The sequence below is a fragment of the Homo sapiens genome, chromosome 12 (genome assembly GCF_000001405.40).
Source record: "Homo sapiens chromosome 12, GRCh38.p14 Primary Assembly".
NCBI classification, from domain to species: Eukaryota; Metazoa; Chordata; class Mammalia; order Primates; family Hominidae; genus Homo; species Homo sapiens.
This window is the reverse complement of record NC_000012.12, coordinates 44,513,902-44,536,112: the sequence shown is the minus strand read 5'-3', so window position 1 is coordinate 44,536,112 and position 22,211 is coordinate 44,513,902. Positions and strand designations below refer to the sequence as shown.

The window sequence follows — 22,211 nt, the reverse complement described above, 5'->3', positions numbered from 1 at the left end:
TCTGTCAATTCAAGCACATTTTCATTGTCTACTGACTAACCAAAGTAGAAAAATTTGCATAAACAAATCAAAATTAGTAGGAACATTAAAGTGTAATATGAAGTTATATATATTATCTGACTAGTTTTTTCCTTATTCTAAATGATAGCAAGTATATAATCTTGATCTGTGACATAGGTATCTTTTATAAATTCAGACGTATTTTAGATAAATTAAGGCATTGCATTTCACAAGGAATTACTCAGCAACTCCCTTTGAAAGATGAATAATTACCCTATATTGTATATTGCTGTTTTCAAAACTTCACTGTTTTTGTCATATTCATAGACCATTTATACCCATATTTACTTAATATTGTTTCTGTAATTTTTCTCATTTTAAAATTTTAAAGTTTTATTACTCTACTATAAGTCTCAGTTGCTACAAATTGAACTAATTCAGAAAAATAAATATGTAGCCATTAAAATAAAATATCTGCCCATTATCACCTACATACCATATCACTGGTGGCAGATAAATTGCATGTTTGGAAATACTGTTCTATATGATTGTAAATTCAGATTTTCATAAATTTAATTTTATTAAAATAAAGCACAATTTAAATAGATGATAAACTAACTGAGGGCAGAAATTGCATCTGTGTTGTTTATCCTTGTTTCCCCAGCACTTAGTTCTTGGTGCATAAAATGCATTCAATAAATACTGAATATGTAAATTAATGCATGAAACTTACACAGATGGTCCCTGACCTAAAATAGTTTAACTTAAGAGTTTTTTTAATTTATGATAGGTTGCTCAGAGTATTAAATACAATTTCAACTTATGATTTTTTGACTTACAATAGGTTTATTGGAAGGTAACCCCATCAAAAGTGTAGGAACAGCCATATTTACCTATTCATCTTCTATAATCCTATTACAAAGTAATAATTAAATAAGATAATGCCCAAAGTTTATATGAAAATACATTATGGGCAGGCACATGCTTGTATTCCCAGTCTTCAAAACACTAATTAATATAACACATAGCATTTCTATTAAACTTTATGGAGTATATTTATAAATCAAGGAAGTTTACCATAATGTAATTAAGAAGAAATGAGTATGAGGCAGTATAGGAGTGGGCCCGGTAAAGGAGTGACAAGAGAGAAATGAAGTGAGAAGTAACAATTGAAATATATATCTATACCATAGAAACTGAGATAACCTTATTACTATGTCAAGGTAGGAAGAAAGGACTAATTTGAAGGCTAAATATAATGGGAAAGTTGCTTCAGTGGAGAAAGTTCAGTTCCATCAAGAGTTACTTCCAAATTACCAGCCCTAGTGACCAAATTCTTCTAAAACGAATGACTCTAACCATCCCCCATATGGCTTTCTTCCAATAAAACTCACTTCTAAAGCTTAAATTCCAACCTGTTTTCTTTTGTCCATGCACTTAAGAAATGACATAATCAATTCTCTACATCATTGCGGTTAGAAGAAAAGACCATATAAAGCTGAAATGAGCAAAGCATTCTGAATCTATTTATAATCAGAGGTTCATCAGTTAGGGAAGCCCCTGAAGTACAAATAGACTATTTCACAAAACTTATGAGGCCTCAGTAAATGGATACAATCCACATCAGTTATGTGTCAGAAGTCAGTGGTTAGCCGATTTGGTCAGTCACAATTATTTTGACAGAATGACTGCCGATAGTAACTGATTCTAAAGAAGAGGCACCACAGAGGCAGAATCATTCATAGTTCAGAAATAATGCTGAAATATTACAGCAATATAAAATATTTTTTGCCTATTACCTAATAATCTAAGAGGATGCTTTGCATACTATTTTGCTGAAGGGACACTTGACCTATCAAGAAATAAATGAGTGATAGCTCATTTCTCTGATTTTTTTTTACTTATGTATACATTTATTCATTAATTTATCTCTTTCAACATTGAACTTCTGAAAAGAGGACATTTTATAAGAAAATGAAAGGAATATATGCTTCCAGGAATTTGGAGGGGGATGAGACTGAAATAGGAGGAAGTAGATTCTGTCAACTGAAGTAGTCTGTCTGAAGGGGAAAGGTCTCTAAAAAGCATCTTGCCTTACCTTCAACTTGAAGGATGTCATTGTGCCTGGTCACAGAAGCAGGGAATATGATTCAGGTGTCAGAGGCATATCAGAAAGAACCATCCTGCCTTGGCAGGTTGGAACCTTCGGCTATGGCATACGGCTATCAAGATGGGAGTGGGAGACATGTGGATATTTTTGGCAGCTACAATGGTTCAGCACCATTGGATCATATAGCAGAGTCTAAGTTAAGCCAAAAGATCCTGAAAACCAGGAGCTAATGAGAAGGAGACACTTTGTAAAGCAACTTCAGGGATTGCTTTTCCTCCTGTGAGCAAAGGAAGGTACTCGGATGGTGTTGGATGTTCTCACGATTCAGTAGACGAAACAAGAAGAATCAAGGGCTTTCAATATTTAGGAATAGTAATAAGCCTCTGGAGGAAATATCTGAGACTTAAGATCCATAGCTGTCTTTGTATAGTAGATCCAGCGTGATTTACTTCTATAAAGGAGCACACACCTGAATGTCAGGCACTGTGAACTTTTAGGTGACTTTGGTTAAATCCCATAATTTCCTTCTGCCTCCATTTTTTTTTTCACATGTTCAATGTACTATCTACATGGCAGGATTTTTTTGAGGGTTGAACGAAGTAGTATGTATGAAACACAGTAGAAAGTGACATAAATAATATGTATACTTGAACATGTGAAGCATGTTGATGCATGAATGCTATTGTCATCTATATTAGAGTGTCAACTAAGGTTGATTTCTTTCTCATGCCATAAGTCCATCCCAGGTAAGTAAGGAATGTGTCCCAGGTTGTCTCCTACAGGAACTCAGGTAGGTCTTTAGAGCCTCTGGAAATGGCTAGTCATTGTGATAGGGAAAGGGCATATGTGAATCACACACTGCATCTTAAAGGATCTGCATAGAGGTGACACTTATCACTCCTTAACTGGCTTAAGTGACACTTCACCTATCACGTGGCCATACCTAACTTGAAGGGCCTGGAGAATCATAATCCTAGCTTGTGTCTAGAAGAGCTAAAATATTGGTGAGCAGCACTAATGACCATCACATATGGATTCTTTCCATTTTCTACAGTGGAATACCTTTTGCATCAAAGAAGCCTTCTAGATGTTTCTCCTGTTACTAATAACACTACATTCTTTCTGTGTAGCTGTTAACAAACAAGTAGACTTTCTTAATTTTATATTTTCCCAGTTTCAAGGATTTGCTGGCATTAAAAATTTTAGTAGCCTTGTAGCAGAATATTCTAGTTTCTTTCAAAGAAGATAAATAATTTTATAAAATCCCTCTTTTTTTGCCAGACATTGATGAATGCTCTGATGGTTTTGTTCAATGTGACAGTCGTGCTAATTGCATTAACCTGCCTGGATGGTACCACTGTGAGTGCAGAGATGGCTACCATGACAATGGGATGTTTTCACCAAGTGGAGAATCGTGTGAAGGTCAGTACAAGGAGAAGACCTAGAATTTAAGAACTTCTCTTGAACTTGAGGAATATATCATAAGCTATAAATAGAAGACATTGAGCCAATGTTAGTGTTTTTACTATATGTGTATACAACAGTGATTGGAAATGTGTTAAAATCTAACTTTTTCTTGCTAATTATGGTATCTAATGTTATTTTTAGATAATTAAAGTTTGTGACACTAACCCAGTTTTCTGTGGATTCTTGCAACTGTTAAATGGTGTTTTTAGAATGAAAAAACATGTAGTATCACATAAATTTTTTAAAACGAAAGCATGCAAGCATCTGATCCAAAAACAGGTAGCAAAAATACATGAGAAAAGCAAGATAGAGGGAAAATGGGGATAGAGGAAATGCAATGATGATGTGGCCAAGGATGACATACACAATGCATGCTACTCAGGGCTATTCCTAACATAACACTTGCCTGGCAAAGTAAGAGATGTTTAGTGATTGTTGAATGTTGGATACATAAGATATGGTCCCTGATTCCATTAAGTTTTCAATCTAAGAGGAGTAGAAAATTCAATCAGATTATATTCAATTAGTTACCATTAATTTTGAATTATTTTCAACAGACTGACAAATCTGCTCCTCTGTAGCCTCTATTTAAGGGGCATGATTTTTAGAAACCAGGCAGACAGAGCAAGCAGAGCCCCATGAATAATTGTCAGGGAAACTACCCGCACTGAAAGAATTTGCCATCAGAAGTCTTGGCATAGGAATGAAAAACAAAACACAACTTGAGAACTCATTGTTTTCTCCATTTGCATTTACAACTTCATAGAGCCTGAGAGGATAATGGGGTTAAGATGACACAGTCAATGAAAGCTTTTGACAATCTAACCTAAAGATACTTGACACCTAAATGATAAGATGTTTTTTATCCTTGTGCCTCAAAGGATTTTCACAAAGAGACAAGTGAAACAGACTTGGGTGATGGATGCCAAGGCTTCTAGCCTGTTTTGCCGGCAGCAGACAAGCTCTGGAGCTTGAGCAGAGTTTTCATCAGGATTTCCACCTAGGAATGGGAATGCTGTTGCCTTACTGGGGGCTAAAACCTGGCATTTGCATGTTACCACTTAAATATGGTCTAAGGGCTTTATCTTGCACTGGTGAATGTTCCAGAGTGAACATTTCCAGCCCTGGAGAGAATGCCAGGAACCACAGATTATAGTTTCAAGACAGATCAGACATTGGAACTTTGTTCTTCCCTGATAAGCTACTTTGTTTGTATTTTATAGAATTTAATGGAGATCATCTTTTAAAAAATTTATGCACATAAAGAATGAATATAAGCTGATTATAAATAATGCAAATCATACAGAAGCATGTATATGGATTAAAGCTGAGTATGCATCTTCATTTCTCTTCCCCCCTTTCCCCATCTTTTCCACTCATCCTCTAGGGGTTACCTATGTTTAATTTGGGTTAGTATCCTTGCACACTTTTTTCTGTGCATCTGGATGTGAGTAGAAAAATACACATACCTCTGTTGACTGTGTTACATTAAGTTTGTAACTAAACTCACTGTCTTTCAAATTTATGATCACAAATCTCTAGTGGGTTGTATTAGTTATCTATTGATGCCTAACAAATTACTCTCAAAACTTAGCAGCTAAAAACAGCAAACATTGTCTCACACTTGCTATGGGTCAGGGATTTGTGCACAGCTTAGCTGGGTGGCTCCGGTTCAGGGTCTTCATGACACTGCAGTCAAGTTCTTGGCCAGGACTGTGCTCTTCTTATATTGAAGGCTTGCCTATGGTGGTAGTGGTAATGGGGGGAGTGGGAATCTGTTTCCAAGATCATTCATGTGGCTATTGGCAGATCTCATTTCCTTAATACATGGGCCACTCCTCAAGGCGTGGGAGCTTGCTTCCCCTAAAGCAAGCAATCCAAGAGCAGATGCCGAATATCGGAGCCATAGTCTTTTTATAACCTCATGTCAGATGTGACATTCCATCACTTCTCACACTTTATATTTGTTAGCATCAAGTCAATAAGTACATCCCACATTCAAGGGAAGGGGATTGCACAAGGGCTTGAATACTAAGTGGTGAGGATCACTGGGGCCATCTCAGAAGCTACCTACTGCAAGGGCCATCAGCACTGTCCAGCATTCCTACTTCATTTCTTTAGTTACGTTCCCTTCCAACTTTCCAATTAACAGCCATTTCACAACTTCTTAAGTCTCCTCAGACTTTGGATACTGCTTCCTTTCTCTTTATTCTCTGTCAATACTGCTTCCTTTCTTTTTATTCTCTGTCAGTGGCCTGCCTACTTAACTGAGACACAGAAGTAGTCAAAAGAGATCTGCCTCACTTTCCACCACGACCCGTACTCGCCTATTTATTTATTTCTATATATCTGCTCATTTATTTCTATATACCTGCTGCTTTTTCTCTCTCCTCTTTTATTGGAGGAAGTGGCCCTGCTCCTATCAAAAATCAAACTCATCATTGTATCTTGCATCTCATCCTCTCTCACCTATTTAAGGATTCTGCCCATATAATATTAATTTTCTCTTCCATATAGTTAAGTCTTTTTCAACTGCATCATTCCTATCAGTGTTCAAAGAGTCAGGAGTGGCGGCCATCTTTGAAAACAAAACAAAAGCAAACAAAAAGTAACTTCCCTTGACATCATCTGATTCTACAGACATATCTCCCAATTTTCTGTCCCCTTTAGAACAAAATTCCTTGAAAATATTTTCAATACTTGTTATCTCTGCCTTCTTCCTTCCAGTGACACTTTAGTCTCACTGCTCCAGCCAATGCTTTTCTTTCAAGATTACTAACAATTTCCACTTCGCCAAATTAACTGATCAGTTACTATCTCCTTGATCAGCCACTCAGGGATTTGACTCAGTTGATCATTCCTTTCTCTCGAAACATAATTTTCCTCACTTGGCTTCAGGTACCCCACTCTCTCCTGGTTTTTCTCCTTTCTCCTACAGGCCTTTTCTTTCACTCTCGCAAATGCCCCAGGACTCAGGCCTTGTCAGTCTTTTCTATCCATTCTCAATCCCTAAGTCAACCAGTTTCATGGCTTAAAATGCCGTCTATGTATCCCTAATTCAGACCTCTGCCCTGGCTGCAGATTCTACATCTAGTGGCCTACTAGGTAGCTCAACTTGGACTTCTAATAGACAACTCAGACTTAATACGACTAAAACAGAACTTTTCATTTACTTTCTAAGTCCTACAGGTCCCTTAACATAGTTGCCCAGAACTACATCTTAGAGTCATTGTTTCCTTCCTTCTTTTCCTCATATCTCACATTCCATACATTAACAAATCTCACAGTTTCAACTTTCAAAATATATTCCCAGTCTGACCACCCCTCACCACCTCTGTTAACATCTTAATCTAAGCCATTACTACCTTTTGCCTGAACCACTATAGCAGCTTCCAAACTGGTCTTCCTACTTCCACACCCAATTCCCCTAGAGTCTTTTTTTAATAACATTCAGAGTGATTCTTCTAGAACTGAAGTTAGATCATGTTACTCCTCTGTTCACACTCGTGGAGCCTCTCCACCTCTCTCAAAGCAATATGCAAACCCTGACCATGGTTGACAAGGGCTCACATGATATGCATCCTTTGCCTTCTTACCATTTCTAAAATATATGAAACAGATTTCTTTGCATGTACTGTCACTTTATGTGGAATGCCCTTCCCCTAGATCTTTGCATGGTTCTTCTTTCATTTAATTCAAATTTCTTCTCAAATGGTTTCTCCTGGACTGCTAATTTAAAATAGTCTCCCACCTCTGACACTCTATTCACTTACCCTGCTTCACTTTTTTTGATAGAAATTATAAAGTCACCTGAAATTATAGTATGTATTTATGTGTTTGCTTGCTTATTATCTGCTTTAGAATGTAAGTTTCAAAGGTCATAGTTTGTGTTTGCTTGTCAGCTATCATATCTCCAATGCCTAGAGCAGTGTCTGGCACATAGTAGATGATACATTTATTTGTCCAATGAAAAGATTGAGGTAAATAATAGATAGCTAATCTCTTCATTAGAAATGCATCAGGCACATAACCTATGTTGGAATGTAGATATTAGTATGACATATACTGGATATGTATATGTAGTTAAAAGTAGATACATAATAATGATCAGGATAAAACATAATTAATGCATTCACGAGTGTTCAGCCCAGAAAGTAACAAGGATAATTAAACTAAACATCAAAATAACACATTACAAATAGGAAGACAGCAAAGTAGAGGATTCATCTTCATAGGAAAGGCCTTTCAAGGAAACCCGCAAACATAGGAGCAGTGAAAAACCTTATTTAAAAAAACAAAAAACAACAAAAAAAAACTCTTCTGGAAAGATGATTCTACCAATAAAATTTATAAAGATTATCAGAAAAACCTACTACTCTGTCAGAGTACAACATGCTCTGAAGGATTCTTTTTTTTTTTTTTTTTTTTTTTTTTTTTTGAGACGGAGTCTCGCTCTGTCGCCCAGGCTGGAGTGCAGTGAGGCGATCTCGGCTCACTGCAAGCAAGCTCCACCTCCCCGGTTCACGCCATTCTCCTGCCTCAGCCTCCCGAGTAGCTGGGACTACAGGCGCCCGCCACCACGCCGGGCTAATTTTTTGTATTTTTAGTAGAGACGGGGTTTCACCGTGTTAGCCAGAGATGGTCTCAGTCTCCTGACCTCGTGATCCGTCCGCCTCGGCCTCCCAAAGTGCTGGGATTACAGGCATGAGCCAGCGTGCCCGGCATGAAGGAGTTTTTTAAAAGAACACATCTAAGTTATATTTTTTAAAAAAGATAAAAATAATACTTCTAAACAACTCTCCATTTACTGCGATTTCCGTGATGTGTAGAATTGTAATATTAGTATTTAGAAGGATTCATTTTAAGAGTATGATTATCTCAGAGAAGGTGCTATTTTTCTGTTGCTGGGGGAAAGAAAGTAGACAAAGCCACAATGGTAGCTTTACAATTACTCTGAAGTGTAAGACTCATACTTGGAGGCATGAATAAATAACTTCACTGTGTCATTACTTTTTAGGTTACAGTTGTGTGATCTACAACATACATGTTTATAAGCTGCATTCATACAAATTGTTTGCTGTTTTGCTCATCCATTTATCTCAGAGATTTAGACATTTCATCCTGAAGTAACAGGCCAGAGTCCTATTTTCCTTATCCATCCCCCATTTCCACTGTGCCTAAAATTTTGTCTCTGTCTGAGACACAGTCCAGTATCTTTTTCCACATAAATATATTTATGCCCACATGTCCCATTATTGCTTTAGTTTCTGGACAATCTTTAAGTTTGGTGAAGTTTTTTGAACTTTTGATACCAAAAAAATGAAGTTTACATGATAGTATTTTAAATATTCTGTTCAAGCCCAACGCTGTGATTGAGAAAAGCATTTGATTTTGAGAAAAAATATAAATGTCATGCTGTGAAGGAACAAAGAGAAATTATTTGCTCTTTAACATCAAGGAAGGCTTCTCAGAGTACCTAGTATTTGCTTTAGGACTTTGCTAAGTATGATGAGATTATTGCCAAGTCGAGATAGGGAAAATGATTGCAAACAAGAGGTAGCTCTAAATACCGTACTACGAAGTTTGAACATGCGTATGAAGGGCTCTTTTTGAGAAAGGAGGTGATGAAAGTAATCTGCATCAAACCCACATTTTGGCCCAATCCTATTTTCTGAGCCCCCCACACACATATCCAACTACTTACTGAACAGCCCTGGTGGAAGCCCAGAGGAAGTGCAATTCAGCCAGTCCTAGACTGAACACTTCTGCCTTCATCCCTCCCCATTCTTCTGCTCCGCAGCAAAATCTTGCTCTTCTTTCCATAAATAACGTCAACCATATTTTCCACGCCAGAAATCTATACATCGTTCTTGATCTCTCTTTCTAATCTTCAAAGCCAACAAATCACTATGTTGTGTTAATTCTCTCTGTTGTCTCTTTCTATGCGTCCCCATTGCTGCAGTGTATAGCAATGTCCCCACTGAGTCCCCAACTCAGTGTAGCATGGTACTTAAGAACACAGGCTTAGAGCATGATTGCTTCAGTTCCCATCTGGGCCTACTGGCTGTGTGGCTGTGTCATTTTGGGCAAGTTATGTAACAGTATTATGTCTCAATTTCCTGATTTATAAAGTGAGAATCAAAATTTAATTATATCTTCGAGGGTTGTTGTGAAGATTAAATAAATCATTATAAGGAAAGTACTCAGAGTCTGGTACATTCCAACCACTATGAGACTCTGCTTTTATTGTATGATCATCTTTTGCCTGAACCAAGGAAACAGTTATTAACTGGTCTCCTGGCTCCAAATTCTAATCCATTCAAATCTCTTTTCCAAAATGAACCCAAAGGGACCTGTCTAAAATGAAAATCAGATTGTGATTTTTTTTTTGCATTTCTCTAAAATGACATTTTATTGGCTTTATGAAAAAGTTCAAATTTCTTAACATGACCTTTACCTGGGCCCTGAGTAGCTCTTCAGCTACATGCTGTTTACTCTGCTCTCTCACTGAACATTCCAGTCATACCAGCACTTCTGTTTCTCCAGCACATCTTGATAGCTCTAGACGTTGGGCCTTCAAGCACGCTCTTGCCTCAAAAACACTCTAGACCACTCTTTACCTACTCTTTGCATGGCAAAATATTAATCATAGTATAATTGCCAAACCTAGAGAATGTATAGACAAAAAAAGAACCAGGAAGAGCTACCAGTGTGATAGGAAGCAAGTAGGGAAAATGTATCAAGGAGAGGGAGTAAGTTGTGTCAAATGCTCTGCTAGACCAAGTTACATGACAGCTGACACTGACAAATGGATTTAGCAACATTAGTTCTTCAATAATCGCTCACTAAAGGAGTTATCAATATTTTTAAAGTTGGAATTTGTGTATGCCATGATAGGTTTTTCAAAGCAGAATACACACCTTGTATAGATATTTAATTTGGGAATCTTGTTATAACCAAACTATGTGTAAAAATGGGTTCCAAAATTCTATACCACCAGTTAGTTGGGAAAAGTTTCTGCATTGTCAGAGCCAGTGTAGATAATAAGCAGAAAAGGCAAGCTGAGTTCAAACTAACTCAAACTCCTTGGATAGCAAGAGGTTGTAGTTAGTCCATTATGATGCATCTGCCCACACATTTTTCCAGGTATAACAAGTACATGCCAACCATCGTTATGAGCAACTTTTTACTCTATTTCTTTATTATAGATGTGCTTTATTTAAGTATACATATTCGTCTTGTGCCTGGATATCTCTTCTTTGTCCCTTGCAGCAATCCTGTGGAATCTTTCTGCCTATAAGGGGGAAAAAAGTATTATCTGATAACACAGCTTTTATTTTAAAGTGTCAAGCAAAATAAAATGATTGCAAAAATTCGGCCATTGCCATTCATGGAATAATGTCCTTATAGTAGACCATAAAAAGGCTATGTAGTAAGGATGTCTGTAGAGCTTGTTGTCAAAGAGACCAAATAACTATGGTTTGTTTATGTTTTTCTGGCTTATTATAATTCTTAATTCTAGAAATATGTAATGGGAGACAAATATCAACTCATCAGATGTACCATATCATTCCAAATAGACCAAATATAAAACTAGCTAATAAAATTTAATTTTTATTACAAAGAGAAAAATTTTCTCTAATCTGAAAAAATACACATTAACCATAGTACTTAATTTAAAAAATATATATTCTCATCCTGGCTAGCAGTTTTCTTTCTGATCATAGTCTACGATAATAAGTAATATTATCCTTAACAAATCAAGCTTAATAAAGCTCTGTAATCACTTTTTCGGCTATTGATCCAATCCATTAGTTTTGTTGAAGTGGGAACTAATAAAAATCAAGGCAAATAGAAAAAAAATGTCCTGTGGCTTACTTTCAGGAATACATATATGGCAGAATTTAAGTATATAAGAAATTTAAAATTGCCAAGTTTTTACTAGTCCAAGTCTTCAGTTAATGTTGAAGTCCAACCATTTGAAAAAGATATTTCCTAAACTTTATTTTTAAAATCTTCAAGGAGAATCAGTATACAGCGCCCTAGTTAAAAGCTATACACTCCATCTTGTCTCTAACCCACTTCTGCCATGATTTAATTCTTTCTTTCTTGACCTTTACTCAGAGGCAACTGATGAAATGGGAAATAACTACTTATTGCCACTCATACCATGTCTCTGAAATGTATTTTGGCTTGTGACCTTTAAATTACGGGGGTAAATAAAAATGAATCCCATCTCCTCTTATGGACCTGATCTGTGGGTCACGATATGTTTGCTTTTCATCTGTATGAAAACGCTTTAGGCTGTGATGGCCATGAAATAGGTGAGGCCAGGTGAAGTATGGGCAGTTGCCAGTTGAGTTAGACAGGGGACAAAATGATAATCTGAAATGGAAAAGTTAAAAAATAGTGGTTTCTTTGTAAGAGAGATGGTAATTGCTGATTATTATTTGCCCTTCTGTGGTTGAGAGTCAAGGTCTAAGGACTGTATGAAAATGCCTGGAATGCAAGGGAAGATCACCTAGGCAGAACAATGGAAAGAGCTTCATGGAGGGGGGCAGGTGCAGCCGCGAGAATAAGGCTTGATATTGCATAAAATGCTGCAGGGATCTCATGACATTTCATCTCCCACTAAGAAGGGATTTTTCTATAATCACCAGTTTAACACTGGGGATGATATCCCCATTAAAGTATCATAGGCACTTTTAGAATTTCCACTGCTAAACTGTTTTTGTTTGGTAAATTGAGTCATATTCTTACTCTCAAAAATAAAAATGTTTCATAAAGCCTAATGTTATTTACAGAGATATAAAAGTTGAAATTCTAGCCAAGGTTACCTGATTTTTTAAATCAAACATGATAATATTTTCCTGTGAAATCCCCAGATCATTAACATTGCTTTAGTCAACATTTAATCACAAATGCAAGCCAGTAAGATGAAAATTAATTTACAGTTGAATACCTTATGTCAGGAGACAACTGGCCTGATTGCAGTTGTTTGAAACTGCACATATTCTAAGCACATTGAGTGCTGCTTTTTCTTGTCTATAGATATTGATGAGTGTGGGACCGGGAGGCACAGCTGTGCCAATGATACCATTTGCTTCAATTTGGATGGCGGATATGATTGTCGATGTCCTCATGGAAAGAATTGCACAGGGGACTGCATCCATGATGGAAAAGTTAAGCACAATGGTCAGATTTGGGTGTTGGAAAATGACAGGTGCTCTGTGTGCTCATGTCAGGTTGGTATAAATGAAAAACTTTAATTAATTTTATTCAGTTGTAATTTGCATATGTTTTAAGTGTGTATATGGCTTGATGAGTTTTGACAATGTGTACATCCACTTACCTACCATCACAATTAATATAACAGAACACTTCCATTATCCCAAATGTTGCCTATGTTCTTTCCTAGTTAGTCCCACAACCTTAGATCCAGGCAAAAACTGCATCCAGTCCCTATTGATTAAATTTGTATTTTCTAGAGCCTCATATAAATGGAGTTTTATAGTATATACTATATTGTGTCTGACTTCATTCTCTCAACATTATGTTTTTGAGATTCAATCCTATTGTACCTATATCTCTAATCCATTTCTTTTTAATACCGAATAATATTTCATTGTATGGATATACCAATGTATTTATCTATCCACATGTTGATAAAATTTTATTACTAACCATGCTAATTTTTTCCTAGTCACAGTATCATGTTTGAATGACTGCATAAATAAAGTCAGAATGAACATGCTGTGATCCAAGAGTGAAAAATATTTATTTGGTGTATATTTCAGTTTTAGATAGGTATTCTGTTATATGTACCTAGTTATAATAAATGCTCAAATTATTTTCAGATGAATAATATTATGTACCAAGAACCCAACTGTCATAAAAGAAATTGATAACAGTTTATACAAAAACATAGGTTTTAAATACTCCAGAAATTTAGTAATATATATATGTTATTAACTATGAAATATTAAAACACATGTCCTCAAACAAAACAAAATTTAGTTAGTATGCAACTTACCATACTAATATACAAATATATACTTACGTATAAATGAAGACATTTATATACACAGTGGTTATTTTATGCTGGTCATTTCTGAAAAAAAATATTTTCTGGTCATTTGAGGAGTAGTATGTGGAAAGGAAATTGAAAATCCTCCAGCTTAGGTAATTTCTTTGTGTTAGCTAAAAAAAGAAATGCTAAAGAAAATTTATTATATCAGATAAGCAGTGTGAATTATTTCAACTTCCAAGTCACCATCTGAAATGTGTGTGCGTGTGTGTGTGTGCGTGTTACTGAGAAATGGAGGTTTTTGGTAACTGCTTTTTTTCTTTTTCATACAGAATGGATTCGTTATGTGTCGACGGATGGTCTGTGACTGTGAGAATCCCACAGTTGATCTTTTTTGCTGCCCTGAATGTGACCCAAGGCTTAGTAGTCAGTGCCTCCATCAAAATGGGGAAACTTTGTATAACAGTGGTGACACCTGGGTCCAGAATTGTCAACAGTGCCGCTGCTTGGTAAATTTAGCTACATGAAGTGGAAAGAAAATTTAGGCCCAGAATCTAAATAGAGAAGCAACCTCGTCCTCCCCATCTGCCAATACCTAGCACCAGGCCACAGTGTTGACAGTTATAAACAGTGAGCCTGGTTAGGATGATGAGGTGATAGTTACACGATCACAACCCAAGAAGGAATATTCTGAGGTAGATGTGGTACAAGGTGTTGAATAGTCTTTCACTGACAGTAATGTATGTCTCTTTCAGGAGTATCTCCATAGCTCAAAAGAAAAGACTCTCCTAGCTTCCCCATTCCTATCCTGTTTAGGCTAACTTAAAGACAAATATTGATAGAACAATGGCATTCATAAAAAAAATACTCTTTTTTCCAAGTAGAACTTTTGTTAACCCATTTCTGTCAGTTATGTTTAGACTTAAAAAACAAAGCAACTCCGCCTCCCCCACCACCGCAACCTTCTTTTTTTTTTTTTGAGACGGAGTCTCGCTCTGTCGCCCAGGCTGGAGTGCAGTGGCACCATCTCGGCTCACTGCAAGCTCCGCCTCCCGGGTTCACGCCATTCTCCTGCCTCAGCCTCCCAAGTAGCTGGGACTACAGGCGCCCGCCACTACGCCCGGCTAATTTTTTGTATTTTTAGTAGAGACGGGGTTTCACCGTTTTAGCCGGGATGGTCTCGATCTCCTGACCTCGTGATCCGCCCGCCTCGGCCTCCCAAAGCAACCTTCTAAAGATTGTTATTTTCAATGCTTCTGATGGGCACCTTGTTTTGCACATAATATGGATATGCAATAAATACATATTAGAATTGAATTTCTCTATATATTTATAAAACTTTTACTAGAAACAATAAGTAAGAAGAAAGTAATGACTTGATAAAGTCTTTTTTCAGTTGAACGAATTTCTTGTTTCTAGTGGTGTAAATGAAAAGGAAAATTGGTCTATGTGTCTTTATAGCGAAAACTTTCACAGAAGATGCTACTTTTAAAGTTATGGCCAGTTTCTTTCTATTTGTGTGAGGTTATTTTTAAGGCAAAGCTTTTTTGTTCCTTCCTTTTTATACTTTCAACCCAAAAATCAATGGAAAGAGCAAGGTCAGTTTCTGTGCCCGAAGGCTGCTTTCATCTCCCAAACCATGAGATTCAGAATTATGAAGAAAATAGGAAACAGGTGGGAACTACATTTTTAAAAAGATCCAATTCACACAATTTTCCTGTGTGGAATTAAAAAGGAATGAAATCAATTCCTAGGATTTGTTTCTTTTTTTTTCAAAGTCTCTACACTGAAAAATATATAAATGAACAAAGAAAAACCATCATATTGCCTTCATATTTTAGTTTATTTTCTTGTAAATGGACAAAACATTCTTTATGCATAAAGGAATTAATAATAGGTTAGAAAAAATAGCAAAAGAATGAAAAAGATATCACATGGGCAAAAACGTTAAATTGAAACCTCTCTCCTTTGTCATGGGAAAGATAGGGGCATGCACATTTTATTGTTTTAAGATGAGTGATTTTTGCTTTTGTTTTATTGGTGTTATTTAAATCCTGAAGATTGTTTGAAAATCAAGCTGCAATACAGAATTCATCATTCTGATAGGGCTTTTGTGTTAATAGATTCCCTGAAAGATTCATGGGCTTTGTAGATCTAAGTTTAAATATCAATCAAATAATTGAGTATTCAGTAAACACTGTGCTCATCTGCTTTTTCCTGGCCTCCCTCCATTTCCTCCTCCCTCTCCCTCTGCCCTTGCACATCTGCTTTCCTTGTAGCAAGGGGAAGTTGATTGTTGGCCCCTGCCTTGCCCAGATGTGGAGTGTGAATTCAGCATTCTCCCAGAGAATGAGTGCTGCCCGCGCTGTGTCACAGACCCTTGCCAGGCTGACACCATCCGCAATGACATCACCAAGACTTGCCTGGACGAAATGAATGTGGTTCGCTTCACCGGGTCCTCTTGGATCAAACATGGCACTGAGTGTACTCTCTGCCAGTGCAAGGTAAACTCCATTAAATTTAAATAGTGAGCACTTTGCCAGCTGCACCCAGGGCTCATAGATAATAATGTGCTCTACCTGGACAATAGGAAGGTTTTTTTTTTTTTTCCTGTTTATTTTTCAAACATAGGTGGGCGGAATGCCACTCAGCTGTTAGTTCCAGGGCTGTCATGGACATCCATCTGATGTATATTCAAGGATAGTGCATGGACTAAAACCAGAATGATCCGTTATTTATATCACCAACATAGAAACAAGCTACTTAAATTGTCCTAGATATCTAACCGTACACATCTTTTAAAAAAGCTGAAACAACAAACCTCATGTTTCTTCTTTCATGATAGGAGACAATATTGTTTTATTGATTTTTAGCTGGTTCTTTTACAAGGTCCGTAAGATACATAAGTGAAGTAGATTTATTACATTTTCCAAAGTGGAAATCAATATGGCAAAGATGGGCATATTTCTTGGTTTGTTGTGGTCAGTTACATTGAGTTGAAACATTTAAGATCTGTTTTTTACCATATTTTATTCATACAGTTGGAGAAAAACCATTACAAAGCTCTTTCTCCTTATTCTCATTGGAAAATAGAGCTCTGTGCCTTTTGCTTCAATGAGAGCACAAATACAATGAATATAGGCAGAGCATATAGAGTTTGTAGATTAGTGACAATGTTGGAAGCATTCTAATTTGATTATTATTTCTACAAAAATTTAATTTTGTGGCCATTATGCTTTATAGTCATAATTTTGTAATCAACACTAAAACTAAATAAATAACCTGAAGGCTTAACAGTAACAACTAAATAGCAGACGTGTCAGATTTTTCTCAGCATAACATAGCCAGATATCTGTAACTGCTCTGATTTTTTTAAGTGAGCATTTCCATTTTGTAATTTTTTTCCTACAGAGCAATTTAATTCAGATTCACTTACTACAAATTCTTACCAGAGTAGATTGAAGTAACAGGACAAAGAAATATAAAATGCTTTAAGCTTTGAGATGCCATTTTTATCTATTTCAAGCTCAAATTTCTAGTTCTTTCAATCAATGCAATTTGTCAATCAAGCAAAGCTTTTTGAGTGAACATTTACTGCTGTTTTATGAAATGCATTAGCAAATTTAAAAGTTACTATTACTAAAAGTTACTAATAATGTATATGCGATGTTCCTTTAATATACATTTAATATGTGTATACTTAATAGTGCATATCTTGAAACTTAGCACTAATGACTAACAGGGAAATACTTTCTGTCATTTAATTACCAAATAGAGTTGAGTCCTCTTACACCCTTAATCTTTCTGTGAGATTATTCTTCTGAGCAATAGTGACAAAAATATATATTGAGTGATGGACAAAAATGAAATATAGCACAGATGGATATTTCCAGTAAGAAAAATGCATACAGTAATAGGCAGGAAAACAACTCAGACTGTTTTCTGGGGTAAAGAATTTGAATGAGGCCGGGCACGGTGGCTCACGCCTGTAATCCCAGCATTTTGGGAGGCTGAGGTGGGCGGATCACAAGGTCAGGAGATCGAGACCATCCTGGCTAACACGGTGAAACCCCGTCTCTACTAAAAAATACAAAAAATTAGCCAGGCATGGTGGTGGGTGCCTGTAGTCCCAGCTACTCAGGAGGCTGAGGTAGGAGAATGGCGTGAACCCGGGAGGTGGAGCTTGCAGTGAGCTGAGATTGTGCCACTGCCCTCCAGCCTGGGCAACAGAGCGAGACTCCATCTCAGAAAAAAAAAAAAAAAGTATTTGAATGAGTTTGTCATTCACTACCTTATAAACAACTACTATAATCTCTCAGCTTTTGATAGGAATATATTCCAGAAAGTGTATTTTGATATTAAAGTCATTTCTTTCTGTCAGATAAGTACTGATTCATAGAAGTTACTATTAAATACTATTTTCTTTATCTCTTGTTATTAAATATGAGTCATAAAAATATGCTCAGTTTTGTCAAATTTATCTCAAGTACTCATTTTTATTACATTTATTTTGTGTTATTTTGAAAATAAAGTTTATGCAAAACAAGCTTCAAGTATTGCATTAGAGGTAAGCATTCTTCACAATTTAGTGCTTTGAAAGCACTATTTTATTTATTATGTCTCCATTCTACTCCCCTCTGAGTTATTTGTTTCTAATTGATAAATACACACCGTGTGGGGCATTGTGCTGGTACCAGGTGTATAATGATAAGCAAAACCAGACACAGTCACCCTTGGAAATTATTCTCTATCAGCTTATTATCTGGCACTCTGTTGTTCAATATGCTAGTCAGTAGCCACATGTGGCTATTTAAATTTTAATTAATTAAAATTAAATAATATGAAAATTTTAATTTATTAGTTACACTAGCCACATTTCAACTGCACAATAGCCACATGTGGCTACTGGCTGTCATATTAGATAGCACACTGTGTAAGGCCATTCTTGCATTGCTATAAAGAAATACTTGAGCTTGGGTAATTTACAAAGAAAAGGGGTTTAATTGGCTTACAGTTCTGCAGGGTCTATAGGAAACAGTACCATGGTCTGCTTCGGGGAAGGCATTTCACATGGCAAGAGTGGGAACGAGAGAGAGAGAGAGAGAGAGAGAGAGAGAGAGAGAGAGAGAGAGAGAGAAAGTAGTTGGTGGGTAGGTACCAGACATTTGTAAATGTTGCCTTTATCTATCAAAAACTACAAACTTGAAGTTGTGCCAGTGGACCTCTGTTCTAACATTAGAATAGATAACTCGATCTAAGGAAAAAATACCTATAAATAAGCAATATTATAATAAAGCTTTTAATATATGATCAGGACTTTGCAGATCAATGGAGGAAGAAAACATTATTTCACAAATAATGGAATGACTAAATAACAATTTGAGGGAAATAACACACAGTTATAAAAATTATGTTACATATCAAAACAAATTCCACATGGAAAAAGTGTTAAATATTAAAATAAATTAAAATAAAGAAAATATAATTAAATATTTATCAAAACTCTAGAAGGGAGATACTTTTTAAAATTTATCAGTGATAAAATATACCTGAAAGAAAAGATTAGTGCTTCTATAGATACATAAAATTAGCAAAAAAAAAAAAAAAGTCACAACTACATACTAGAAAAACAGCTTCAGCAGATTTGGTTTCTTTGTTAGATTAAAAACATAAACATTAATAAGAAAAGCACTTACTGCTGGGTGCAGAGGCTCATACCTATAATCCCAACTGCTCAGAAGGCCCACTTGAGCCTAGGCGTTCAAGGCTGCAGTCAGCCATGATCATGCCACTGCACTCCACCTTGGGTGACAAAGTAAGACCTTGCCTCTAAAACTTTTTTGGAAAGCAATTATTTCCCCCATAAATAAATCTGCAAAGGATAAATAAACAACTCACTAAAAAAGTACACCTACTAAAATAAAAGAGGAAATCATTGAGCCTTTAAATAATTGAACCTTAATTGTAAACTAAAATTATAAATAATTATTTTCACATACTATAGTAAAAAAGTTTCTCCTAATAATTTCTAATGCTGACAGAGATATACTGGAATTATTATTTTTGTGCACTGTTAATATCATTAAAAAATACACAATGCAACACATACTATCCGCACCCCCATATACACACACAAATATATTGTTCTCTTTAATCCCAGGTCTGAGAATCTAACCTAAAGAAATAATCAAAGTATAAAACAAGCTATATACATGCCAATATCCATCTCAACATTGTCATACAGAATTAAGGAAGAAACGAAAATATCCAACAATAGAACAGTTAAATAAGTTATAGTAACTTTGTATACAATGCAATTATATGATGTGTTATACTTATATAATATATTCTAATTACATATTAGAAGATCATATATTATTATTCAGCTGTTGAAGTAATCACAATGCTTATAATAAAAATTAAGATAAAAATATTATGCACGTTGTGCACATGTACCCTAAAACTTAAAGTATAATAAAAAAAAGTACTGGTCATGATAATAATGAAAACAAACAAAAAATATTATGTATAATTACATATTCACTTTATTTAACTACAAAAATCTTGAAAATAAAGGAAATGGACTCTATTAAAACATATTGAAATATCAATAGTAATAGGATTAAAAAATATAAGTGTAGCTGAAAATTAAAAGTTGACTGTCTTCTAATCTTGATTTTCAAAGGTTAGCATGAAGAGTGGCAAGGACTTCTTTAACAATAAATATAGCCAAAAATAGCAGGGTCTTAAGGAAACTTATTTTACTGTGTCACTATATAAAAATAATTACTTTTTATAATGAGTTTTGATAGTAGGTGCTTATTATTCCTAGTAGTCAGACTGAGTTTCAGTGAGTCACTTTTATTTTCATTTTTATCAAGTTAATATTTATTATAGTGAAATTCACAGTTAAGTATATAGTTTGATGAGTTTGATAAATCAAAATACAGAATATATCCAACACTCCAGAGAGTACCTTTGGATCCCCTTTCAGGTAACACCTACTTTCAGTAGACAACCTTAATTTTATTTCTTTGTAATAAATTCATTTTGCCTGTTATAAAATTTCATATGAATTGAATTACACAGCTTGTACTCATTTATATCTTCTGTTGAATTGACCATTTTGTTGTTATGTAATGTCCCTCCTTATCTCTAGCAAGGCTTCTTGACTTGAAATTAATTTTGTCTAATATTTATTTAGCCACATAGTATATTGTTTTGTTCATCTACTTCCAATCTGTCAACGGTTTTATATTTAAAGTGCATTTTTAATAGAAAATGTATTGTTCTTATTTTTCACCTAGTGTGAAAATCTGTCTTTTATTAAAGTGTTTTGTTTATTTACATTTAATGTAATTTGTGACACTGATGGATTTAGGACTACCATTTTGTCATTTGTTTTCTATTTGTCCTATCTATATTTTATACACCTGTTTATCCATTCCTGCCTTCTTTTTCTTTAATAACATTTTTATTTTATCTAAATTGTTCTATTGGATTTTAAACTATAACTTTTCATATTATTATTGTATTTGTTGTCCTACGGATTATAATATATATCATTAACTTATTATATTATAATTAGGTATAGTATTATACTACTCATATAAAATATAAGAACTTTGCAACATTATGATTTTATCCCCATAGCTTTTGTGCTAAAACAGTAATATATTTTACAACTCTGTTCACTATAAATCCTACAGTTCCATGTTATTATTTTTGCTTTAATAAGTTTTATGTCTTTTGAAGAAATTAAGAAAAGAAAAATGGTATATTTTATATTTATTCACATATAGTAATAGCTCCTTTTTCCACAAGGGATATACGTTCCAAGACTCCAAGTGGATGCCTGAAACCACAATATACTGAACCTTATTAAACACTATATATACTATGTTTTTTCTATACATACCTACAATAAAATTTAATTTATAAGTTGGCACAGTAAGAGATTGACAACAATAACTAATAATAAAATATAATTATAATAATATACTGTAATAAAAATTATGTGAATGTGATCTCTGTCTCTCTCTCTATCTCTCTCTGTCAAAATGTTTTATCATACATTTTACTCACTTGTTTGGGCCATGGTTGACCACAGGTAACTGAAACTGTGGAAAGATAAACTGCAGATAAGGAAAGACTACCGTATTTACCATTTCTGGTACTCTTCATTTCTTCTTACATATTGGAGTCTCCATCTGGTTACATTCCCTTCAGCTTGAATAACACTCCTTAGCATTTTCCTTATTGCAGGTGTGCTAGTAACAAGTTCTTTCAACTCTTATTTATCTGAAAGTGTCTTTATATTTGAAGAATATTTTCACTGGACATAGAATTCAGGATTGACAGATTTGTTTCCAGAACTTTAAAGGTGATATTCTATTATTTTCTAGTTTCCATTGTTTCTGATACAGTGATCATTTGTTTTTTTATTCCCTTGTATGCAGTATTTCTTTTTTCCCCTACTTTTTCCTTTCATGATTCTCTATCTTTGTTTTTAGTAGTTTGACTATGATGCACTTAGGTCTAATTTTTTTTTTTTTTGGTCTTTATTTTCTTTGGTGTTTGCTGGGCTTTTTGGATATCTAAGTTGAT

At 35.1% G+C, this 22,211-nt stretch overlaps 1 protein-coding gene across 6 annotated transcripts in view; it reads left to right on the top strand.

Annotated features, from left to right (window-relative positions):
• NELL2 (neural EGFL like 2) overlaps positions 1-22,211 on the top strand; it is a 413,574-nt gene that overhangs the window by 385,736 nt on the left and 5,627 nt on the right. For all 6 annotated transcript variants that reach the window (XM_011538396.2, NM_006159.2, NM_001145110.2 and 3 more), the window contains 4 exons: positions 3,392-3,532; positions 12,629-12,822; positions 13,937-14,113; positions 15,884-16,108. In XM_011538396.2, the coding sequence (XP_011536698.1) occupies positions 3,392-3,532; positions 12,629-12,822; positions 13,937-14,113; positions 15,884-16,108 (737 nt within the window). The remainder of the gene's footprint in view (positions 1-3,391; positions 3,533-12,628; positions 12,823-13,936; positions 14,114-15,883; positions 16,109-22,211) is intronic.